This window comes from Homo sapiens, chromosome 8 (assembly GCF_000001405.40).
Source record: "Homo sapiens chromosome 8, GRCh38.p14 Primary Assembly".
NCBI classification, from domain to species: Eukaryota; Metazoa; Chordata; class Mammalia; order Primates; family Hominidae; genus Homo; species Homo sapiens.
This window is the reverse complement of record NC_000008.11, coordinates 95,920,259-95,946,078: the sequence shown is the minus strand read 5'-3', so window position 1 is coordinate 95,946,078 and position 25,820 is coordinate 95,920,259. Positions and strand designations below refer to the sequence as shown.

Here is a 25,820-nt window from a genome sequence, read left to right as displayed (position 1 = left end):
CAGGAAGCACCTAATATGTAATGTGTTAAACTTAAATCAGAACATAAAAAGGCTAGAGCCAATTTTCCCATAGACTCCAGGACTTTCTAGGTTGCCAGACTGATGGCAAGGACAAGAGCAGAGCCTCTGCCCGCACTCGTCTCATGGGCACATTCCTTTCCAATGCTCCATCAGGCCCAGCCAGTGCTGCCAGGCAAAGCAGGAATCGCCTCTGCTGGATTTGAGCCCATTGCTGCTTTCATCTTCTTCCTGGGAAGGGGGTGAGATCCTCTAGTCTCATCAGTCATTTGTTCCCTGTCAACAAGCCTGCTGCTAGAAGCCTGTGTGGCTCAGGTGGCTGCAGCAAGAAGTCCCTGTGGGGTGGAGGCTGTTTGGAGCCAGCAGAAGCCTCTACACCCAGCAGGTGCTTAGGAGCCACAGAGGAGAGGAAACAACTTAGACGCCTTCCCCTAAGAGGTAGTTTTACCAGAAGAGGGATGAACAGGCCGGAAGCCATCCCGCCAGCAAACCTCCTCCTGTCAGCTCCAAGCCGGACAAAACAAATGCGCTTTATCTGCAAGTAAGATTGGCTTCCGAGGGCCGATATATCATGCAGAGGCCTGGCGACTCCCTCCCGAGGAGCGTCATCTTCTCCCTTCTCGCAGTGCCCCAGTCCCTGAAGGTCTTCCCGCTAGCAGCCAAAAAAGTTCAAAAGAGCAGAGGATAAGAGATGTTCCTCTCTTCTCCCACTCATCCAACTAGGTCCAGGCCCCAGAGCCCAGCCTGGCTTCAGGTGGGGGCAGCGGCTCCAGCCTCTCTGGTGTGCTTGCCAGGGCCCAGCAGCCAGGCCTGGCCAGCCAGGAATGGCTGACCTCCAAGTGCCTTGCTTCCCTCCGGTTGCTCCACCTAGGCGGCGCAGAAGAAGCTGGAATGCTGGTTGGCTTAGTGTTTGGGTCACTTTTCATCTCTGGTGGGAGGATCAGGGGAGTCAGTGGCTCAATGGCTCAGCCTTGAGGATACAGCGGCACTGATCGTGGGTTTTACTGGCATGGCTGGGGTTCCCACTGTGTGACAGCAGCCTGCCAATAGGTTAGGAGAAGAAGGTTAATATTGGGCTGGAAGCTGGAATTGGGAAAAGAAAGAAACTTAGGTCATTTTGAGCTCGCTTCTCACGATCCTAACATCCTTCTCACTCAGTCCTTATTCTGACCATGTCTGCCTGCCATTTAGGGATAGGAAAGGAGGAATTGAGAGTAATGGGAAGGAAAGGATAAAAACAGAGGCCAGAATAAAACAAGGGACATGAAAAAAGTGAGGGGAAGGAGGTTGAGGTTATTTGAATGAAAAGCAGTGGAACAGAAGATGCTGAAAGAACAGGGCTTCTGCTCTGCTGAACCCACTTTTTCATTTTCTTTTAAGTTCTTCTATTTCTTTTAATCTTGAACATTGCCCTGGTTTCAGAAATGCTTGGAAAATCCTTGTTGGTGGTGAAGCCTCTTTTCACATTGAAGGAGGCCAAACTTGCAACTGCCTCGTGAGAACATAAGCCTGTATTCCTGAATGTAAAGTCTCATGCAAAACTCTGGAGGATGTGGCTCCACTCATAGGATTGCAATCAGCCCTATTGGGAAATGACGTGATGGATTGGAAAGTGTCCCAAATAGTTCTTGATTCAACACTACCCTTAGCAGGCTGCATGACATTGTACAAGTCACTTCGCTTCTCTGGGTCTCAGTGTTCTCAATTGCAAGATGACACACCAAATTATTTCTAAGATCCTTTCTAGCTCTAAAACTGTATAATATCTGATCATATCTTTCATTTGTTTAAAAGCAATATAATACTTTGCCTACTAACTTCACCTAGCATAGCATGCTAGGTCCCCACTGTCCTCTCCAGCTGTATCTTCTCTTTCTCTTTTCCTCGTATTCTGTGCCCAACCCATTGTGAAGTACTCACAGTGAGTCTCTCTTGGTCCAGTCTTTGAACACAACATTCCCTCTGCTTGCAATGCCCACCCTTCTCTCCCCACCCGTATCTCCTATTTTTCCTTCTGGGCTCTGCCTTTTTTGGGAAGCCTTCTCTGGCCATATCCTTAACTTCAGCTGAGTGAAGTCTCCTATGTATTCTTAAAGCCTCTATGTTGACCCATATTTCACTTTGCAGAGAATATTATAATTGCTTTTCGTCATTCTGCCTCATTAGATCTTGATCTCATTGAAGACATGAGCTGTCTCTTGGACTCTTATGCCTAGTTCTGTGCAATAACACAATGCATGCACCAATTAATTATTAAAGCTGACCTTAGAGCCCTTGTCCATATCTTTCTGAGTTTTTCTTTTCTTGGAAATATGTGGTAGAAATGTGTTCTTTAGTGAGAGAACCAAGGCAATGGGAGTGGCAGAAAATGGGCAATAAAGCAAATGTATTTGGACCCCAAAGGCTTCTGGATTCTGTTAAGGAACTGTATACACTCTTGGACTAAAGACATAAGGCAGCTTGTTTCGAGGATTTGGAATGCACAGCATTGACCTCAGCAGTCCTATCCCTTCAGGGAAAAGCACAATGCTGTTAACTGAGGCTAAAATGTAGAAAGACATTTAGAGAACTGAGCAAGACAAGATATCTGGGTACATTTTATGAATCACTTTTCTAATTTTTCAGTCACCGTGTTACTCATTCTCCCACCCATCTTAGTTCTTAACTACAGAAGCATCCAAAACATATAGTCAGACACTTATCCAAATCACAGCCTTCCCACACGATCCAAGAACAATGAACAAGACTTTGGAAGAAACTGGGGTGATTCCAAAAAATTGCAAGAGAGTCAAAAGGGCACATGCATGTCATTATTTACTGAGCAAATGGGAGGTAGAACTTTGGAAACACATGCTTATTAAAGAAAAAGTGAAAAATGGAGAAACACAGCAAGAAGGGGGAAAAATGACTTGAAGTCTACCTGCCCCTCCCCAAAGACAGCTACCACTCGGAGTTCAGCAGGTTTTATTAACATTTTTTATGCACTTTCCCCCACCTCTGCTTTACTTTAAAATTAATTGTTTCCCTAGTATGCATATAACTTTCAATTTTAATTTTTTTTTTCTTTTTTGAGACAGAGTCTCACTCTGTCATCCAGGCTGGAGTTCAGTGGTGCAATCTTGGCTCACTGTAACCTCCACCTCCCTTGTTCAAGTGACTCTCCTGCCTCAGCCTCCTGAGTACTTAGGATTACAGGTGCCCACCACCACATCTGGCTAATTTTTGTACTCTTACTAGAGAAAGAATTTCACCATATTCACCAGGCTGGTCTCGAACTCCTGACCTCAAGGGATCTGCCCGCCTCGGCCTCCTAAAGTGCAGGGATTACAGGTGTGAGCCACTGTACCTGGCCACATTTTCTTATATAAATAGCAAACAGTGGAGACTACACAGAAGTGAAAAAAATTTGAGTTGTAATCGAATAAAACTTACAATGAGTTTAATAAGGAGTGTGTCACCATTGTTGTTTTGCAAGAAAGAGGCATAGGTGAGTGGCTCAGTGAATGATCTGTGGAAAAATACGGTGCTCCTTTTCTAGAGTGAAAGTAAGCATTTCTGGAGCTAACTTGGGTAAACAGTGAGCTTATAAAAAGGGAAGAAAAAAAGTTTGTGGTTCCTGGCTTGACTTTCCCCAAGACAAGGCAGGAGTCAGCCACCGTTCTTTCCCCCCTATTAGATCAGGCCACGTAGCCACCAACATTCCAGATTACTGTTGGTTGATTTCCAGTCTGAAGGTGAGAGACAGGCATAGAGACCCTGGGCCCGTGGACAGCACATCTCTCCTGCTGGGGACACCTGGAGGCAGAGTCACCTCAGACCTTCTGAAGTAGACATGGCTCTTTTCTTCTTCCACCAGGAGCTAGTCCACTTCTTCAGCTGGGATGGAGGTGGGCCCACAGCGCTTCTCTCCACAGAAGAGGCAGAGGGTAAGAGTGTGGGGACTTCTGCTTGCTCAGAGTGATTCCTTCACAGCTGCCAGAAATACTGTGAAAGAAAGTTCCATTCAGGTAGAGCCCTTGGCAAGGATTAACCGGTGCATGTGAGTTATTCACTAACACAGAAGCCATTCTAGACATGCATAGAAAATGTAAGAATGGAGGCTGGGTGCGGTGGCTCACTCCTGTAATTCTAGCATTTTGAGAGGACGAGGCGGGTGGATCACTTGAAGTCAGGAGTTCAAGACCAGCCTGGCCAACATGGTAAAACCCCGTTTCTACTGAAAAACACAAAAATTAGCCTGGTGTGGTGGCTCGTGTCTGTAGTACCAGCTACTTGGGAGGCTGAGGCAGGAGAATTGCTTGAACCCAGGAGGTGGAGGTTGCAGTGAGCCGAGATCACACCACTGCACTCTAGACTGGGTGACAGAGCGAAACTCTGTCTCAAAAAAAAAAAAAAAAAGTAAGACTAGTAATAAAAGAGGATTTGGTTAAACTATAGGCAAAGAAGTCTTCCAGATACTTCCAAAATATGATTTGGAAGAATCTGAAAACGTCTGGTTAATGTATAACCATGTGAAATGCCTTTTATTGTTGACTCTGTTAATTGAGTAACAGAGCTGTGAATAGTTTTTCTTGTTTTTATTTTGTTTCGGAACTGTAAACTTTATCCCATATCCCTATTTAGGTATATCTGATTTATCTAAAAAAGAGTGAGGTGAAAGAAGAATTATAAATTGCTAATTCCAAGACTCATTAAAACAAAGGTGACAAAAGACTAGGTCTCCTGACAGGACACATAAAATTAAAGGTTTTTCTCCCATAGCTGGAGAAAATCCTGCTGTTGTGTGTTAGAGAATTTTTAATATAAAAAATGACTCTATCAAGAGAGAATATGATTAGAATAAAAGTTTAAAATCTATCTTTTTAATATAATATTTTAAAAATATAATAGTAGAAAGCAGAGATGTACAGTTATATAAAAATAATACATGCAGTTAAGTTGCAGATGCTTGGGTGATTTCTAAGCATTTTAGGTAGCATTATCAAATATTTTCCTAATAAGACAAAGGGAAGAGAAATTTTTTTATGGGGGGCATGGAGAGGAAGAAGGGAAGGACTGAGATGTCATTTTGGAACAGAATGCTTCTTAGGTGACAATAGGTTACATTTCCAACCCTGATTTCCTGTTACATGTTCAACCCTCTTCTGAGTTCCAAAATGTATTTCATTCAGATAACATTTATTGAGTGCCTAATATGTGTCCATCAGATTTAAGGCTGCATTCTGAATCTCCTGTGTATCCAAAGACATATTTTACATCAGAGGGGGAAAACGATAAATATGTATTATTTTCCTGCCCATCCCTGTTAGATGCACCTCCAAATCTGTTCTTTCTCCTGTTTGGCCATCTAGCTAACAGAACACGTGCACCCTGCCTCCCAGGCTGGGAACCTTGCTCTCTGTTTCATTTCCTCTTTTACTTACCACATTGTAGTCGGTCACCAAACCCTGTTGAGACTGCTCTCATCTGTGTTTTGCCTCTCATCTCCATCTTCTTGAACTCTGCGTTGAAAAAGACTGTTACCATCTCTAATCTGAATTATTGCATTTGCTTTCTAGCCTCATCTGAGTTCATTCCCTTCAACATTACAGCCAAGGAGTTTGCCTCTCACAAAGTAGATCACATTATCTTTCTGCTTACATTTCTGTAGGCTTAAATACCTGCAGTCTAACTTTCAGCTGTGCTCTGTCTCTGGAAAAGCACCATTTTAAAATGATTTGTCTTTTTTCCTATCTTTCCCTGACACTCCACTGGAGCATTTTGAGGACAGGGCCATGTGCTTTCATATTTGTATCCTTCACCTGCAGCCCAGCAGCAAGTAAGTGCTCAGCAGCTATTTGCTGAATAGGACTGACTTAGGAATGGGCACAAGGGAAGAGGATAGACGTAGGAGAAGAATAGAGGGAGCCACTTCTCTTCCCAGGGGTTGGCAAGCTCTTCACGAATCTTTTCCCCCATGTTATTCCACTGCTCCCCTTATTCTGTCAGGAGTGGCAAAGGAACTTGACCCCACCATGCAGTAAGTCTTCCTGATAAGCTGATAAGTATGCTGAAGTGTATAATTCCACTTATAGAACTTTTCAAAGGCACAAAATTATAGTGATAGAGAATCGATCAGTGGTTGGCAGGGTTGTTTAGGGATAGGGTTGTGGGAGGGTATGGCTATTAGGTGGTAGTGTGGAATTTTTCTTGTGGTGATGGAATAGTTCTGTATGCCAACTGTGGTGATCTTTACGTGAATCTGTACATGTGATACAATTTATAGAACTGTATATACATTAAAAACTGGTGACATCTAATTAAGGTCTGTACTGAAGTTAATAATACTGTACCAACGTCAATTTCTGAGTTTTGAAAATAAGATTTTTTCATTGGAGGTAGCTGAGCAAAATATATACAGACACCATACTATTTTTGCAACTTCTTGTGAGTGTGAGTCTTAAATTATTTCCAAATAAAAAGGTATAGATAGCCAACTCTTATTATTTGTGTTAGCTATGATCTCTGAAGTCTCTATGAACACTGAATTAATGAATACTGAACCATTGCTCCTAGGAGATGTACAGGGCTAGATTCCTGCAGCAAGCCTTTGGCCACAACATTTTTGTCAACTGATCAATATATAACCTTGTTTTCTGCGTGTTTCTGTTTAAATATTTAACATCTATTTAATATCTGTTATTGATTTATTAACACTGAACTCACAGGCAGCAGCACTATAACTCATGCCTCAATGAAGCTTATCTAATACATGTATTTTCTGTGTAAGGCACATCACAGCCTTCTAAAATTTAGGAACACTGGACAGCTCTTCAATACTGTGCATGGGCCCATTTTAAACAATGAAACCACAAACAAAAGCACAAAAATGTGAACAATATGGCACTAAATAAACCACCAAAAGGACATGTTTACAGTATGACAGTATGGGAGCTGATATTCTACAATAAGGCAGACTGTTGCCTTGTTTTAACTCAGTTGAGACTCTATTCATCAAGCAACTCAAATTGCCTGTATTCATCAGGCATCTGCTGCTCTGCACATGTCCACAAATGACCATGAAAGAACTGTAAGTATTGACTTTAAGATTACAAATAAATTTTAGTGAGTAGGTAAATTCACAAATACAGATTCTACAAATAATGAGGATTGTCTGTACATGTCTATATATGTCCATATATGCATATGTGCACATATGTGTACTGTATTATTTTTGCAACTTTAAGCTACCCAGTTTATGCTATTTCTTATAGTAGCAAGAATGGACTAAGACCACAGGATGAGGATAGTGGGAAGGCATTCTAGGTATTCTTGAAGTCATACTTCCCAGCTTGCTGACTGTCTAAAAAGCCCTCCCTGATAACATTATATTTGAGTGCTCTGTTAATAAAGGCTAAGAATGTACATAGTTCTGTGAAAAGAATTATGTATATAGTTCATATATTATATATGTGTGTATATATGGTATATATATGTATATCTTTTTATATGTCATGGTGACTGCAGAAGAGGCTGGAGCTCAAATTTATGTAATGATATACATATTGTATAATAAAACTAAATGTCATCTCAATGGGAAAAACAATGTCTGACAAATTGACATAAGAATCGCTCACATTTTCTTTGTAGTTTAGATATTTGCAGGTTTTTCTGAATTATGGGATTTTTTTTGTCTAAACTTTAACTGCTATGCAAAAGGGTAGCTTGTGTCAGCATTATTCAGAAGGCCATTTTTTTGTTTGTTCGTTTGTTTTTCCTGAGACGGAGTCTCTCTCTGTCACCCAGGCTGGAGTGCAGTGGCACAATCTTGGCTCACTGCAACCTCCGCCTCCCGGGTTCAAGCAATTCTCCTGCCTCAGCCTCCCGAGTAGCTGGGACTACAGGCGCCCACCACCACGCCCGGCTATTTTTTATATTTTTAGTAGAGATGGGGTTTCACCATGTTGGGTAGGATGGTCTCCATCTCTTGACCTTGTGATCCACCCACCTTGGCCTCCCAAAGTGCCAGGATTGCAGGAGTGAGCCACCACGCCCGGTTGCCATGCTGGTTTTTCAGCCATCAGTCACTGCTTTTTATGCCCCTTTCTGTTTCGAACTCATAGTTAAATGTCTGAGCTTAAGTGCACAATTACCCTAACTCCAGCTTTTCCTTCCAATGACAACACGTGGTGTGTGTGTGTGTGTGTGTGTGTGTGTGTGTGTGTGTGTACTCTTCACCTAGTATAAGTGTACGTATACAGATAGTATGCTATGGCCTGAATGTCTGTGTCCTTCCAAAGTTTGTATGTTGAAATCCCAACCCCTAAGGTTAGGAAGTGGGGCCTTTGGGGAGGTGATTAGACTATGATGGCGGAGTCCTCATGTATGGGATTAATGCTCTTGTGAAATAGGATCAAGGGAACCCATTCATCCTTTCCACCATGTGAGCATACAGGGAGAAGGCATTGCTTATGAACTAAGAAGCAGGTCCTCACCAGACACTGCATTTACCAGCACCTCGATCTTGGACTTTCAGCCTCCAGAATTTCAAGAAATAAATTTCTCTTGTTTGTAAGCTACCCAGTTTATGCTATTTCTTATAGCAGCCCAAATGGACTAAGACCATAGGATGAGCAGAGTGGGAAGGCATTCTAGGTATTCTTGAAGTCATACTTCCCAGCTTGTTGACTGTTTCAAAAGCCCTCCCTGATAACATTATATTTGAGTACTCTGTTAATAAAGGCTAAGAATATACATAGTTCTGTGAAAAGTAACAGCTGTTTCTCCTCCTCATTGGAACTGTGTGCCTTTAACTGTTAGAAAAGGTGGGGTTTTAAAGATCCCGAGAGGAATCCTATTTCTTGCTATTATTAGGAATTACCAGAGCTCTTTCCTGCCCATACTGGGAACGGTCTTTTAGTGATGGTGAGTGAGAAGCTCATTTTGACAGTCTGGAATGACCCTTCTCATACTTGGTATCTATAACCATTATACTCTCCATTATGAGTAAATTGCTTTCCTCGACTTTGGCTTCTCTCTAATCCCTTGTAGGCATATGCTAGTTCTGGAACTCTTAAAGAGTCTCTGGTTAGTGTATTTCTGAGAAGTTAGATAAGGCCAAGCTTTAGTTAAGCTCCACATAGCCGAGTGACATAGAACTGTTTTTGGCTGAAAGCCCTTTAATTTTCCAAGTGCTCAAATGGAATCATTTGAAATGTAAAATGTATGAACATCTTTCCTCTGAATGAAATGGTACGCTTTTTCTTGGCTTAATTTCCTCTAGACATAAAAATTAAGACTCGCCAGTACCAGGGATCAGTAATGTTGTACATGTTGCCAGACTTACAGATTAGATAAGCATTTTGGTTTCCAGTAGTGTTTTCACGGAATTATCTCTATTCAGGTCAAATTCTATTTTGAGAACTCCAGCTGATTCAACAGCCCACAATTTGTACTTTTGGTCTCAAAGTAAATACTTGATTTAACTCAAGCCGGGAGAACTACACTTGCATTTGAGCCCTGACCCATGTAATTTTAAATACCCATCAGCCCCTACTATGGGATGTAATTGGATGGATCAGATGCTTTGTAGGTTCATGCCAACAGAGGGGAAAGCATTTAGGCCATTTCCCTTCCAAAGCAAACAGTGTGAGTCTATTGGTCTAAGCAGCAGTCGCCAATTAGGCTTTGTTTCTCCCTTCACCACTTCCTTCCGCTTTGTGTTGTGGGGCCCTGAGTGCAGAGAGATGAAGGAAGAGGGCTTGAAAAAGGGCATACAACTGCTTTAGCAGGTCTAGATGCAGATGTAAACTTGTGGTAAAGATGTATTCAAGAATACAGAAACACTGGTCCTCAAGGTGTAGGGATTTACAGCCCGAAAGGAACATGGATCCCACCAGAAACTTCCATGTCTCCCAAGACACAGGGCAGAGAGTATGGGACAGAGAGAGAATCCGTGCAGGAACTGAGTCATTACAGGCATAAAGAGTTAGCGTTAACCTCAGGGTTAATTAGGAATCTAAGAAGCTGATTTGCAAGCAGGTAGAAGAGGAGTATTCACAGCAAGGAAAGATGACACACTGTGAAGTCCAGAAATGAAACCAAATCAAAATCTGAAGAGACTAGGTGATCATTAGAGACAGCAATAGAGACTCAAGCACATAGCACTTTGGTGAAATTGCTGCTCGTTTGCCCAAAAGGAAGCCCTCAAGCATGCCTGCTTTGACCCAAGGATGCCATACATACAGTATGTGGTAATCCTGGAGGCAATGCTTGAAAATGACCATTAATGATAAAGTAGTCATTATAATAGCTACCTCTTATTGAGTGCTTACTGTGTGCTATGTACTAACTTTAGGCACTTTACATACATACCCCTGGTCTTATGCAATCTCCACAACTTCACTTTAGAGTGGGCTTGTTTCTGTTTTCTAGTGGAAGAAACTGAAGCTCAGTTAATTTTAGGAATTTGTATTAGTTCAAGCAGTTTCTGAGTGATAGGATTAGAATTTGAAAGCATGTCAATCTAACTTCAAAGCCTATGTTCGTAACCACTAAGCTACACAGGATCTCAGTATGCCATCAAGTGGCATGTAATTTAAATAATTAGAATTACCACCTGTAATTCTAATTAGCTTGGGTCTTTCATATTGCAAGGAGCAGACTCCCTAGCTATCTTAGTTAATGAAGAGTTAGTGCAATAAGAATACATAAGGAAGTCAGAGTAGAAAAAAAAGTTGTAGCCAGGCCTCAGAGAACCAAAATGTTAGCCATATGCAACTGTAACTCAAGTGGGCTTACAACAGCTTCACCAATGGTCCCCACAGAAGGCAGTTAAACTACCTTATTCAGTAGTCTAACATTATTGGGGCTCAGTTACTCCACATCACCTCTTCAACTTTCCTGGAGCCTACTATGTACATTTTATTCACTTTCCTTTCTATGGTATAATGTTTGCTTACTCCTAGCTTTTACAGTCCCATGATGACTGCTGTCGAATGCATTTTGTTTACTGACTTGTCTCTATCATCTTTTCCTCCCTAATGTCTGTGTTTCTCTGTGTCAGGCACTCATGCTCCCTGAGAGGCAGGAACTAGTCACCAGCCAGGGGAAGATACTCACACTGGACAGTGTTAGACCACTTCATAGGCTATGGCCAGCCTACAGAGCAGCCTTTGGGTGAGGTAATCATTCTTGGCCCAGCCAGCTGTGAACTTCTACATGGTGACCTATGCACAGAGAATCTCTCATAATGGGCAGTGGGCACAGTGGGCACCTTATCTGCCTGGTTTTTGGATAAATTACATTTCCCTAAGTATTATCCCATGTATAATCGAACTCTAGTAGCCTATCCTGCTGTAAGCTGGGTTGGGATGACCCAGAGACTCTCTTCTGATATTCCTCGTCAAGCCCTAAGCCACGGAGAGATCAGAGCCTAATGTTTTTATAAGGCCCTCAGCATGTGGTTATATGGCATTGAGTCTATGTTTCTGCATTTTATATCTAAGTATGTATTTTTGCCTGGCTATATGTTCCTAGTTTATCTTTCCTTCCCACTGAGAGAAAAAAAAAACCCTGAAACTCCTCTTTGATGTGGCAGTGCTGAACTCTGTCTGTTCTTAAGGCACTAATAACAATGTTAATAATATCACTTTATAGCACACGTATGCTTTTAACACTTTGGGTATTCAGTTTTGTGAGGAACAACTTTATGACATGAATAATTTCAAAATTGACCACTATCTGCAGGGATGAAAGGGAGCCCATTTTCCTGATTACTTTAGTCTTTAGATTGTGTTTTATGCATCTTGTCATATGGAAGTAATAGTGCCACATACTGTTCACAAAGACATCAAATGCAATCCGAGACTTTGAGTCTTTGAGCCTTCTATTGCTGCATTATGAAACCATTAAAGCAAGATGTATGTTTTATTCTTCTTTTGTTCCCTGTAGTTCTTAACATGGTGATCTGAACATAACTGCTTTTTAAAATATTTGTCAATGACTAAATGAATGAACAATTAGAAATGTGACCTGTAGGGATCTGTTCCAAGATGGCAGAATAGGAATAGCTCCAGTCTGCAGCTCCCAGCATGATCCATGCAGAAGATGGGTGATTGCTGCATTTCCAACTGAGGTACCTGGTTCATCTCATTGGGACTGGTTGGACAGTGGGTGCAGCCCACAAAGGGCGAGCTGAAGCAGGGTGAGGCGGAAGAGCAAGGGGTCAGGGGATTTCCCTTTCCTAGACAAGGGAAGCCATGACAGACTGTACCTGGAAAAACGGGAAACTCCTGCTCAAATACTGTGCTTTTCCAACAGTCTTAGCAAACAGCACACCAGGAGATTATATCCTGTGCCTGGCTGGGTGGGTCCCATGCCCACAGAGCCTTGTTTACTGCTAGCGCAGCAGTCTGAGATCCATCTGCCAGGCAGCAGCCCAGCAGGGAGAGGGGTGTCCGCCATTGCTGAGGCTTGAGTAGGTAAACAAAGCAGCCTGGAAGCTCAAACTGGGTGGAGCCCACTGCAGTGCTGCAAGGCTTGCTGCCTCTATAGACTCCACCTCTGGGGGCAGGGCATAGCTGAACAAAAGGTAGCAGAATCTTCTGCAGACTTAAATGTCCCTGTCTGACAGCTCTGAAGAGAGCAGTGGTTCTTCTAGCACGGTGTTTGAGCTCTGAGAACAAACAGACTGCCTCCTTAAGTGGGTCCCTGACCCAGGTGTAGCCTAACTGGGAGACACCTGCCAGTAGGGGCCGACTGACACCTCATACACGCGGGTGCCCCTCTAGGACAAAGTTTCCAAAGGAAGGATCAGGCAGCAATATTTTCAGTTCTGCAATATTTGCTGTTCTGAAGCCTCCACTGGTAATACCCAGGCAAACAGGGTCTGGACTGGACCTCCAGCAAACTCCAACAGACCTGCAGCTGAAAGACCTGACTGTTAGAAGGAAAACTAACAAACAGAAAGGGATAGCATTAACATCGACAAAAAGAACATCCACACCAAAACCCCATCTGTAGGTCACCAACATCAAAGACCAAAGGTAGATAAAACCACAAAGATGGGGAGAAACCAGAGCAGAAAACCTGAAAATTCCAAAAACCAGAGTGTCTCCTCTTCTCCAAAGGATCACAGCTCCTCACCAGCAATGAAACAAAGCTGGACGGAGAATGACTTTGACAAGTTGACAGAAATAGGCTTCAGAAGGTTGGTAATAACAAACTTCTCCGAGCTAAAGGAGGATGTTCAAACCCATCACAAGGAAGCTAAAAACCTTGAAAAAAGATTAGATGAGTGGCCAACTAGAACAAACAGTGTAGAAAAGACCTTCAATGACCTAATGGAGCTGAAAACCATGGCACAAGAACTTCATGATGCATGCACAAGCTTCAATACCCGATTCAATCAAGTGGAGGAAAGGGTATCAGTGATTGAAGATCAAATTAATGAAATAAATTGAAAAGAGAAATTTAGAGAAAAAAGAGTAAAAAGAAATGAACAAAGCCTCCAAGAAATATGGGACTATGTGAAAAGACCAAATCTGCATCTGATTGGTGTACCTGAAAGTGATGGGGAGAATGGAACCAAGTTGGAAAACACTCTTCAGGATATTATCCAGGAGAACTTCCCCAACCTAGCAAGGCAGACCAACGTTCAAATTCAGGAAACACAGAGAACACCACAAAGGTACTCCTTGAGAAGAGCAACCCCAAGACACATAATTGTCAGATTCACCAAGGTTGAAATGAAGGAAAAAATGTTAAGGGCAGCCAGAGAGAAAGGTTGGGTTACTCAGAAAGGGAAGCCCATCAGACTAATAGCGGATCTCTTGGCAGAAACTCTACAAGCCAGAAGAGAGTGCGGGCCAATATTCAACATTCTTAAAGAAAAGAATTTTCAACCCAGAATTTCATATCCAGCCAAACTAAGCTTCATAAGTGAAGGAGAAATAAAATACTTTACAGACAAGTAAATACGGAGAGATTTTGTCACCACCAGGCCTGCCTTACAAGAGCTCCTGAAGGAAGTACTAAACATGGAAAGGAACAACTGGTACCAGCCACTGAAAAAACATGTCAGATGGTAAAGACCATCGATGCTATGAAGAAACTGCATCAATTAATGGGCAAAATAACCAGCTAACATCATAATGACAGGATCAAATTAACACATAACAACATTAACCTTAAATGTAAATGGGCTCAATGTCCCAATTAAAAGACACAGACTGGCAAACATGATATAGAGTCAAGACCCATCAGGGTGCTATATTCAGGACACCCATTTCACCTGCAGAAACACACATAGGCTCAAAACAAAGGGATGGAGGAAGATCTACCAAGCAAATGGAAAGCAAAAGAAAGCAGGGATTGCAATCCTAGTCTCTGATAAAACAGACTTTAAACCAACGAAGATCAAAAGAGACAAAGAAGGCCCCATTACGTAATGGTAAAGGGGTCAATTCAACCGGAAGAGCTAACTTTCCTAAATATATATGCACCCAATACAGGACCACCCAGATTCATAAAGCAAGTCCTTAGAGACCTACAAAGAGACTTAGACTCCCACACAATAATAATGGGAGACTTTAACACCCCACTGTCAATATTAGACAGATCAATGAGACAGAAGGTTAACAAGAATATCCAGGAGGTAAACTCAGCTCTGCACAAAGCGGACCTAATAGACATCTACAGAACCCTCCACCCCAAATCAACTGAATATACCTTCTTCTCAGCACCACATCTCACTTATTCCAAAATTGACCACATAGTTGGAAGTAAAGCACTCCTCAGCAAATGTAAAAGAACAGAAATCACAGCAAAGTGTCTCTGAGACCACAGTGCAATCAAATTAGAACTCAGGGCTAAGAAACTCACTGAAAATTGCACAACTAAATGGAAACTGAACAACCTGCTCCTGAATGACTACTGGGTATACTAACGAAATGAAGGCAGAAATAAAGATGTTCTTTGAAACCAATGAGAACAAAGACACAATGTACCAGAATCTCTGGGACACATTTAAAGTAGTGTGTAGAGGGAAATTTATAGCACTAAATGCCCACAAGAGAAAGCAGGAAAGATCTAAAATCGACACCCTAGCATCACGATTAAACGAACTAGAGAAGCAAGAGCAAAGACATTGAAAAGCTAGCAGAAGACAAGAAATAACTAAGATCAGAGCAGAACTGAAGGAGATAGAGACACAAAACCCTTCAAAAATCAATGAATCCAGGAGCTGGTTTTTTGAAAAGATCAACAAAATTGATAGACCGCTATCAAGACTAATAAAGAAGAAAAAAGAGAAGAATCAAATAGATGCAATAAAAAATGATAAAGGGGATATCACAATTGATCCCACAGAAATACAAACTACCATCAGGGAATATTATAAACACCTCTATGCAAATAAACTAGAAAATCTAGAAGAAATGGATGAATTCCTGGACATATACACCATCCCAAGACTAAACCAGGAGGAAGTGGAATCTCTGAATAGACCAATAACAGGCTCTGAAATTGAGGCAATAATTAATAGCATACCAACCAATAGAAGTCCAGGACCAGATGGATTCACAACCGACTTCTACCAGAGGTACAAAGAGGAGCTGCTACTGTACCTTCTGAAACTATTCCAATCAATAGAAAAAGAGGGAATCATCCCTAACTCACTTTATGAAGTCAGAATCATATGATACCAAAGCCTGGCAGAGACACAACAAAAAGAAGAGATTTTTAGGCCAATATCCTTGATGAACATCGATGCGAAAATCCTCAGTAAAATACTGGCAAGCCAAATCCAGCAGCACATCAAAAAGCTTATCCACCATGATCAAGTCAGCTTCATCCCTGGGATGCAAGGCTGGTTCAACATACAAAAATCAATAAACGTAATCCATCACATAAACACAACCAACGACAGAAACCACATGATTATCTCAATAGATGCAGAAAAGGCCTTTGTCAAAATTCAACAGCCTTCGTGCTAAAAACTCCCAATAAACTAGGTATTGATGGAACGTATCTCAAAATAATAAGAGCTTTTTATGACAAACCCAGAGCCAATATCATACTGAATGGGTAAAAACTGGAAGCATTCCCTTTGAAAACTGGCACAAGACAGGGATGACTTCTCTCACCACTCCTATTCAACATAGTGTTGGAAGTTCTGGCCAGGGCAATCAGACAGGAGAAAGAAATAAAGCGTATTCAATTAGGAAAAGAGGAAGTCAAATTGTCCCTGTTTGCAGATGACATGATTGTATATCTAGAAAACCCCATCATCTTAGCCCAAAATCTCCTTAAGCTGATAAGCAACTTCAGCAAAGTCTCAGGATACAAAATCAATGTGCAAAAATCACAAGCATTCTTATACACCAATAACAGACAAACAGAGCCAAATCATGAGTGAACTCCCATTCACAATTGCTTCAAAGAGAATAAAATACCTAGGAATCCAACTTACAAGGGATGTGAAGGACCTCTTCAAGGAGAACTACAAACCACTGCGCAGCGAAATGAAAGAGGACACAAACAAATGGAAGAACATTCCATGCTCATGGATAGGAAGAATCAATATCATGAAAATGGCCATATTGCCCAAGGTAATTTATGGATTCAATGCCATCCGTGTTAAGCTACCACTGACTTTCTTCACAGAATTGGAAAAAACTACTTTAAAGTTCATATGGACCCAAAAAAGAGCCCGCATTGCCAAGATAGTCCTAAGCAAAAAGAACAAAGCTGGAGGCATCACGCTACCTGACTTCAAACTATACTACAAGGCTACAGTAACCAAAACAGCATGGTACTGGTACCAAAACAGAAATATAGACCAATGGAACAAAACAGAGGCCTCAGAAATAACACCACACATCTACAACCATCTGATCTTTGATAAACCTGACAAAAACAAGCAATAGGGAAAGGATTCCCTATTTAATAAATGGTGCTGGGAAAACTGGCTAGCCATATGTGGGAAGCTGAAACTGGGTCCTTTCCTTACACCTAATACAAAAATTAATTCAAGATGGATTAAAGACTTAAATGTTAGACCTGAAACCATAAGAACCCTAGAAGGAAACCTGGGCAATACCATTCAGGACATGGGCATGGGCAAGGACTTCATGACTAAAACACCAAAAACAATGGCAACAAAAGCCAAAATAGACAAATGGGATCTAATTAAACTAAAGAGCTTCTGCACAGCAAAAGAAACTACCATCAGAGTGAGCAGGCAACCTACAGAACGGGAGAAAATTTCTGCAATCTACCCATCTAACAAAGGGCTAATATCCAGAATCTACAAAGAACTTAAACAAATTTTCAAGAAAAAAACAACCCCATCAAAAAGTGGACAATGGATATGAACAGACACTTCTCGAAAGAAGACATTTATGCAGCCAACAGACACATGAAAAAATGCTCATCACCACTGGTCATCAGAGAAATGCAAATCAAAACCACAATGAGATACCATCTCACACCAGTTAGAATGGCAATCATTAAAAAGTCAGGAAACAACAGATGCTGGAGAGGACATGGAGAAATAGGAACACTTTTACACTGTTGGTGGGAGTATAAATTAGTTCACCTATTGTGGAAGACAGCGTGATGATTCCTCAAGGATCTAGAACTAGAAATACCATTTGACCCATCGATCCCATTACTGGGTATATACCCAAAGGATTATAAATCATGCTACTATAAAGACACATGCACATTTATGTTTATTGTGGCACTATTCACCATAGCAAAGACTTGGAACCAAACCAAATGTCCATCAATGACAGACTGGATTAAGAAAATGTGGCACCTGTATACCATGGAATACTATGCAGCCATAAAAAGGATGAGTTCACATCCTTTGCAGGTACATGGATGAAGCTGGAAACGATCATTCTGAGCAAACTATCACAAGGACAGAAAACCAAATACTGCTTGTTATAACTCATAGGTGGGAATTGAACAATGAGAACACTTGGGCACAGGGAGTGGAGCATCGTACACTGGGGCCTGTCATGTGGTAGGGGGCTGGTGGAGGGATATCATTAGGAGAAATACCTAATGTAAATGACGAGTTAATGGGTGCAGCAAACCAACATGGCACATGTATACCTATGTAACAAAACTGCACGTTGTGCACATGTACCCTAGAACTTAAAGTATAATAATAATTTAAAAAAACTAAAAAAAAAAAAGGATTTAAGAGTTTTTCAGAGACAAGAAGATGATTCTTAAAGAAAATCAGGGCCGTCAAGAAGTTACAAAATCTACAGATAAAAATAAATATCCTGGAGAAATTCTTTAAAGAAAGAAAAAAAAAAAGAAAGAAATGTGACCTGTAGAGGTTTGGATTGCATGCATGCAACCTTTGATTCATGGCAGTACTCAGACTGGGATATTGCTAGGTTACTAGTCAGTAGGTTTCATTTGATTACTACTTCTACTATTGCTAATATTGGTAATTTATATTTATTTAATGCTTGCCATGTGCCAGACGTATGAGAAAACAGGCTCAGAGGGTAAAATATTTTGCTCAACATAGGGTAGTAGGCAGTGGATGCTGGACTTGAACCGAGGCAGTGGGACTCTGAAAGTCACATTCTTTCTATGCTACCTTGATCATGAAGGAGGTTGCTATAGAAGAATCACTTGGGACCAGCAAAGAAGAGTTTTGGGAACTCAACCTGAGGTGCTGAGTGGCCCAGTTTCTCAATAAATGCCTTTGATATGATGCAAGAGACTAAGTAGGAACAACTAATGACCAACTGGGCTGTCCCTACGGTCTGAGAGATTTAGATAAAATTGTCCCTACCTGGTCGGGATAAGTCAGTGATCCGGAATAGATGCTAACTTAGCTTATCAGTCCATAAAATGTAGGGTGTGACCACTGAGTGCAGAGTCTGGGACTAGGAGATAATGGGGAATCCAAGAGGATGAGAAGGCCACAAATGCCTGCTCTTATGTAGTTTTCAATCTATCAGTGTAATAGAATTTAGGACCAAAAGGAAAAAATAGGAACATAATAAGAATCATCACACAGAGGACAGCAAATTAGTGCAGTTTATGCAGAGCAAGCAAGTATTGCATTATGCTTACCAACATTTGGGTTGTGGGGCTTAGTGGGTATCCTATGTATAACCTAGGGAATCTGTCTTTTTATTTTCCATTAATTCTGATTTTTTACTTTGAAAGGAGCCCAGGGATTATCCTTTAGAATGTTTCCCTTTTACTTATACAGTATATAAATATAGCTTTATTGTCATACACTTGTTCCTGACTATGAGATCTTTCAACATCCACTCAGTGAGTACCTACTACATGCCAGGTACTTTACACAGATGAAACCAATATGATCCCTGCCTTTAGAAAATAGAAATTTATTGCGATGCTAATAGTTTTTACCTGTGGGTGTTAGAATTATGGATGAGATTTATTTTCCCAACTATATTTTTCTGCATTTATTAAGATTTCTGCAGTGACTATGTAAGACTTTTATAATCAGAATGCAAAAACTAAAATAAACTAGGGTACACAAATTTAGTCTTATGACACATGCAAGAAGATAGACAATAGTAATAGTAATTTTGAGAGCTTCCTATATAACAAATACTGTGCTGAGCATTTTATATAAACTATTTTATTTAATTCTCATAATGTTATCAAATTAGTACTTTTTAAAATCTCATTTTCCAGATAGTAACACCAAGGCCAAAAGAGAGTAAACCCCAGACTACATAGCTGTAAATGGAACAACTACCATGGAAACAACTTAATCAGACAACAATTTAATCAGACAACAATTTAATCAGACAAATAAAAGCAAAGTGAAGATTAAACACATCTGTTTTGGCCCTGGGAACTCTCTTCATTATGTAATCTTGTAGCTATATACAACCAAGTGGCTTTATACACCTGTACATATTTGGTGGTATATGGTGTTATTTTTGGAAGAGTTTGTTTCCTTTCGATAGAGAGCAACTTAAGGCCAAGAATCGTATCTGCCTCAGTATTTTATGTATTTATTTATTCTTTGGTTTGTGGTAGAGGCTTACCTGTCTGAGTAACACTTAAAAAATCTTGTTGACTGCCTGGCATAGTAGGTGTGTAGTCACAAAGTTCTCCTGCTTTGCTGAGGGAGACTGTGGATTCTGATATGACCCTTAGCTGGGCTCAGTTTCTTAGCTTCACCATGGGACCTCAAATAAATATTATTGTTTTTCATAATAATATTTATTAAGCATCTACATAGTTTCTAGCACCAAAAAAAGGATTTCAAAGGGGGAAATGCATTGTATACACAGTGTTTAGGTAGCTGTGAGGGATCATCCAGCTACTCCCAGGACTGCTCTGAGTCTAGATGTTGTGCAGACTGTAAAGTGCTTTAAGCTTCCCTGGAGAAAACAACTATGTCAGTTCCACAGAATCTTGATTTTATTTTCTGTGATTAGGTGACCCATGTGATAAGCTGCATATTTTTCTCTTGTTGAGAATTTGTCTAAGAACAAACTCCAGTTGGATTCAAAAGAATGGTTGACCTATTTTATGAGGTTATTTAAATATGGAATTCTAGGGTGAATAGTTAGTAAACATTGGACTGCCCTCTGATCATCTAGTTTTACAGTAATTATTTATTGAGCATGCTCTTCATACAAGGCATTATGGTTGGTGCTTCAGATAATGCAAAGATGATGAAGATGTGATCTCTGACCTCGGCAGTTATAACCCCTAATGACACAAATACAGATAACTGGAAAACAAAGCAAGAAGTAGTAAAGTAACACATGAAGGCTGAGGGCCCATGCCACATGGAAACCTACTACATGGGAGGTCATTGGCGGCATTGCCAGAGTGTTTGAGCACTCATATTGTACCCAGACACCAATATAAGAGCTTTATATGAATTATTTCAAGCTAATTCTCAAAGAACTCTGAGTGCTGATGTAACACACCCTTCTCTGCCTGAGATTTTAACCACTAGAGAAATAAAAAGAGTAATAAACAAGGACCCTTATTACTGATAAAGGCTATGTTAGTGGATGTAGCTTAGGATCATAAACAGTCTTTCTAATTTACTATCTAGACCTTGGAAAAACCTATCGGAAGGAAAGTTTGAATCTGCAGAGCAAACACTGTTAGCCAGGTTATTGCCTCCCCTGGAACGGAGAGAAGGAGAAAGAGAGAAAATTTCCTGTGTTTAGACCTTTGGGAGATGAGCTCCACTGGTGAAGAATTGTGGAATGATAGCTGTGGCTACTGACTGGGTGTCACTGGCCAGGTATTTCACACCATCTCCATGGGGAGGAGGAGAAGGGAGGCCAGGAATGACTAGAGAAATCCCTTTTCATTGAAATAAAAGGGGGGAAATGGGCTTTTCCCTCCATGGTTCCCCAGGTTTTAATTCCCTTTATCCATTGAGTTTGCCTATTGAGTGTATGATTAAGATAGGAGTGTGGCTTTCCCTTTGAGAGAGGAGTCAGGTAGTTGATCAAGTTAGTCCTTCTTACCCATGAGAGGCCACACCCTTCCTTTGAGGGACATCTAGAAAGCAGTGAGGATTTTTACCTCAGAAAGCTCTGAGATGAGTCAGAACAGAGCATTACGAAAATACACTTTGATGCCACATTGTCCTTAAGGCCAAAAACATATTACCTATTCCAATCCCAACTTATATCCAGCCATGTGTAAAATATAGACAATTAGAGATTCTGCCACAGGATAAGTGAAACATTAAGACGCTTCAATATTAAAATGCATAAATACACGTTAGTAATAAAATGCCAGTACAATAGAAGCATTCTAAGCTTGAATTTTAAAAGCTCTTATTATCAATTGGCCTGGAAATAATGAAGGCCCTCAAATTAATTCTTTTTTCAAGGTAAAGACCCCAAACTTTCAAGTCTAATGGAATTAAGAGCAACATCAAATGATCTTGCCCTGATTAGTTAAAAGCAATTTAAGTCTAAAACTCACCCTTGTCTGATTTTTTATTCTGCTGTCGAGGGGCTCTTCTTTGCAGAGTGGACAGGGGCAGCTGGAATTCTTTCAGCAGATGCCGCCTGGGCTGAGTATCTCTCCCTGCAGTGGGCAGAGTTCCTTTAGGACCTATGAATCTGACCCAGTTCAATGCCAATTCTGTAAATTGCTCTCCTATGAAAAGAATTCAAAGACAGGCAAGTTAATCACAGTAGGGGCCTCATACCCACCATATTCAGGAAACAAAGTAATTCCTAGCCCTTATCAGTTATTCCAGGTAGAATTATGTTGCTAGAGCCAAGTACCAATGGCCGTCTAAGAGAAGGAATGTTGCTGGAGAAACAAAAACAAACAAACAAACAAAAAAAACATGGTTTCAGTTCCTTCAGAGGCAGTTAGACTATGTCAGTTGTCCAGAATCCATGATCCATTTCATATAAGGGACTCTCTCCTAAGAGAGCAAGGACTATATGGAGCAAAGGGTCTTTTACCAATGAGCATTGTCTCTTCTCTCAGAGAGTAGCCTTTGAGACATAATGACTCTTTACAAAGTTTAGAAACTAGCCCCAGGCAGCATATCTTATGTGAGGTGTGCTTTGTTTTTGCTTTTGTTGTTGTCTTAAGCAATGTTCCAATCTTTTTGTCTATCAGCTTCCTTTGAGATCCAGTTTCTGGCACCCTAGATCAGCACTATCTACTGAGGTCCATGAGTAGCAACATGGCATCCATTCTCTCCTTTGAGCCACCCTGGCTGCTTCGTGGGGATTTTTTAGATGAAAGGTGTCTCTGTGCCCACATTTGTTCAGCTGGAGAATCATCCTCAGCAGATTCATGAATTGGAGCTGTTGTCCTTGCTCCTGGAGATTATGTCCGTGGGAGGTTGGTGACTCCCAGTACCTCTCTGCCAGGTGCTTCTCAGGGCACTACCCTCCTCTACTTTTTTTAAAAACTCATTTTTAATGGAAAATTTCAAATATATATAAAAGTAGGCAGATTAATATAATACATTCCTCATCTACCGATAACATGGTTTCAATGATTAGTAACTCATGCATCCTTTTGTTTTCCTCGAGGTTTGAATATTTCAGATCTCGAGGAGGCTTTCTTTCTATTGCGTCTTTCTCTGCAACACTGGAGTATGCCTCCAATATTTTCTTCCCATCTGCTGTTTCCCTCTTCCTCTGGCAAAGCTTAGTTGAGGTTCTAACAGCTAATCCTTTTTCTTCTCCAATACATACAGGGCTAGAGCTATGGGCTGGGAGAGAACAGTTTTCTTGCTTTTACTTGTGCTTTGCATTTAGTCCCACACATTTGTTTGTTTTTCTAGTAAAAGTCTTTAGATTTTGTTAGATGGTGTCTCCCATATAGAAAGCTATGGCATGAATCAGTCCCAGGCTTGCTAAAAGCTTTCATTATTAAAAAAATCTTTCAATATATTTGACAAGTATATTTTGAGCATCTACTAAGTGCCAGCATTTTTTTTGCCCTGGATAATTTACAGAGCAAAGAGGCAAATAACCCTGCCCTCAAAGAGCATCCATTCCACTGGAGGGAGACGGACAAGAAACACACATTGCTAAAGCATATGTCTATCAGATCATGAAAAGTGCCAGGAAGAAAAGTAAAAGCAGAGAGGTATGGAGGAAGTGCCTAGGGGATGGGTGGGCCTGTCACACTTCAAAATAGGGTGGTCAGGGAAGGCCTGGCTGAAAAGGAAGCATAGAAGAAGAGGTCTCCAGGAAATAAGGAAGAGCTTTGCACACATCTAGGGAAGAGTATTCCAGGAAGCGGGGCACAAAAAGAGCCCAACCCTGCAAGGAGAATGTGCCGGAGCACAAGGAGACTGGTATGGTAGGAGTGGAGTGTGCAAGGGAAGAGAGTGGTAGGAGATAAAGCAGAGAGCGAAGGGGTGGGACAGGTCTAAGAGGGTGTGGTCTGATCTGAGGAGTTGACTTCTACTCTAAGTGAAATGAGAGCTTTAGGAGGCCTCTGAGTACAGGAGTGACAGGAGATACTCTTCTGACCATGAGACAGGCATTGAACCCAGGTCTAGGTTGACTTATTATTATTCTTCCTGGTACCCCTTCACTGTGGCTCATCTCCAATGTGCTTTCCTTGGAGCCCAATTCCATGCCTTTCTAGGGCAGGTCTCCTTAGAGTCTAGGCAATACTTTTAGCTCTTACAATGATTGTATGCCTCGAAACTCACAAATCATACTTTAAGTATTCTTCACTGGTTTTCCCGGCCTTCCCTTCTCAAATCTGTCCAGATTTTCTCTTTTTTTTTTTTTTTTTTTTTTTGAGATGAGTTTCACTCTTGTTGCCTAGGCTGGCGTAGTGCAATGGCACAATCTCAGCTCACCGCAACCTCTGCCTCCCGGGTTCAAGCGATTCTCCTGCCTCAGCCTCCCAAGTAGCTGGGATTACAGGCATGCACCAACATGCCCGGGTAATTTTGTATTTTTAGTAGAGACGGGGTTTCTCCATGTTGGTCAGGCTGGTTTTCAACTCCCGACCTCAGGTGCTTCGCCCGCCTCAGCCTCTCAAAGTGCTGGGATTACAGGTGTGAGCCACCGTGCCCGGCCTGATTTTTTTTTTGTTGTTGTTGTATACTTAATACAGCTCTCCTAGCATTCATCGGGCAATTTTCTGCTTGTTTTTACTATGAGCTTGCTACTTGTGGCTTGGAATTACAATAGTTTCCTGGATTCTGTCCCTCCCTGGAGGAATCATTTCACTGCCTGTGAGAAAATGCCTCTTTCTCTGAGAGACTTTTCTGGATCCCAGTAACTTTTTTTTTCATCCAGTTACACTTGGGCCATCTGTCCTTTTTCTTTTCTTTTCTTTTTTTTTTTTAATTTTACTTTAAGTTTTGGGATACATGTGCAGAACGTGCAGGTTTGTTACATAGGTATACATGTGCCATGGTGGTTTGCTGCACTTATCAACCCATCATCTAGGTTTTAAGTCCTACATGCATTAGGTATTTGTCCTAATGCTCTCCCTGGCCTAGTCCCCCACCCCCTCAACAGGCCCCAGTGTGTGATGTTCCCCTCCCTGTGTCCATGTGTTCTCATTGTTCGACTCCCGTTTACGAGTGAGAACATGCAGTGTTTGGTTTTCTGTTTTTGTGTTATTTTGCTGAGAATGATGGCTTCCAGCTTCATCCATGTCCCTGCAAAGGACATGAACTTATTCTTTTTCATGGCTGCGTAGTATTCCATGGTGTATCTGTGCCACATTTTCTTTATCCAGTCTATCGTTGATGGGCATTTGGGTTGGTTCCAAGTCTTTGCTATTGTAAATAGTGCTGCAATAAACATATGTGTGGATGTGCCTTTATAGTAGAATGATTTATAATCCTTTGGGTATATGCCCAGTAATGGGATTGCTGGGTCAAATGGTATTGCTGGTTCTAGATCCTTGGGGAATCACCACACTCTTTTTTTTCTGGTGCTCTATTTCAGAGAAATTTGACTTGAGTATTACTTATCCTTTCCCTTTTTGCTTCCTTTTTAGTATTTGGGATCTCTTTGTTTTGTTCATATCCATGTAGCCTGTGTCCTAGGACCTCAGCTTCTCTCCTATGGAAACATTTCTCTTTTCTCCAGGAAGAGCAGTTGGACTTCTTTGCTTGCCTTCATTCTTAGAGCCCATAGGTGCCCACTGAGGCTAGGACTAGGATTAGAAAGCCTCCAAGCAGCCTTCTGGAATTTATCCAATTTCTGGCACCAGCTCTGTCTGGGATGCTAGGTAATTATTATCATGGATCAGCAAATCTCAGAAAACCTGAACTTTTCACTCAAGAACAAGGTTGCTCATTGTCACCCCATTAGAAT

The 25,820-nt window shown here is 41.2% G+C and overlaps 1 long non-coding RNA gene across 1 annotated transcript, besides 2 other annotated features; it reads right to left on the bottom strand.

The window, feature by feature from the left end:
• Positions 1 to 921: 921 nt before the first annotated feature.
• Positions 922 to 5,520, bottom strand: LOC107986957 (uncharacterized). The gene is made up of 3 exons (XR_001746008.2): positions 5,442 to 5,520; positions 3,837 to 4,002; positions 922 to 1,058 (listed from the first exon to the last, which is right to left on the bottom strand). It is a non-coding gene; the product is annotated as an uncharacterized LOC107986957 (long non-coding RNA).
• Positions 5,183 to 5,232: an enhancer, noted in NCBI's record as "active region_27658". NCBI's record gives its function as "activates an Ori minimal core promoter by ATAC-STARR-seq in GM12878 lymphoblastoid cells {active_cell/tissue: GM12878}" and the evidence as "EXISTENCE:reporter gene assay evidence [ECO:0000049][PMID:35858748]".
• Positions 5,243 to 5,312: an enhancer, noted in NCBI's record as "active region_27657". NCBI's record gives its function as "activates an Ori minimal core promoter by ATAC-STARR-seq in GM12878 lymphoblastoid cells {active_cell/tissue: GM12878}" and the evidence as "EXISTENCE:reporter gene assay evidence [ECO:0000049][PMID:35858748]".
• Positions 5,521 to 25,820: the final 20,300 nt, after the last annotated feature.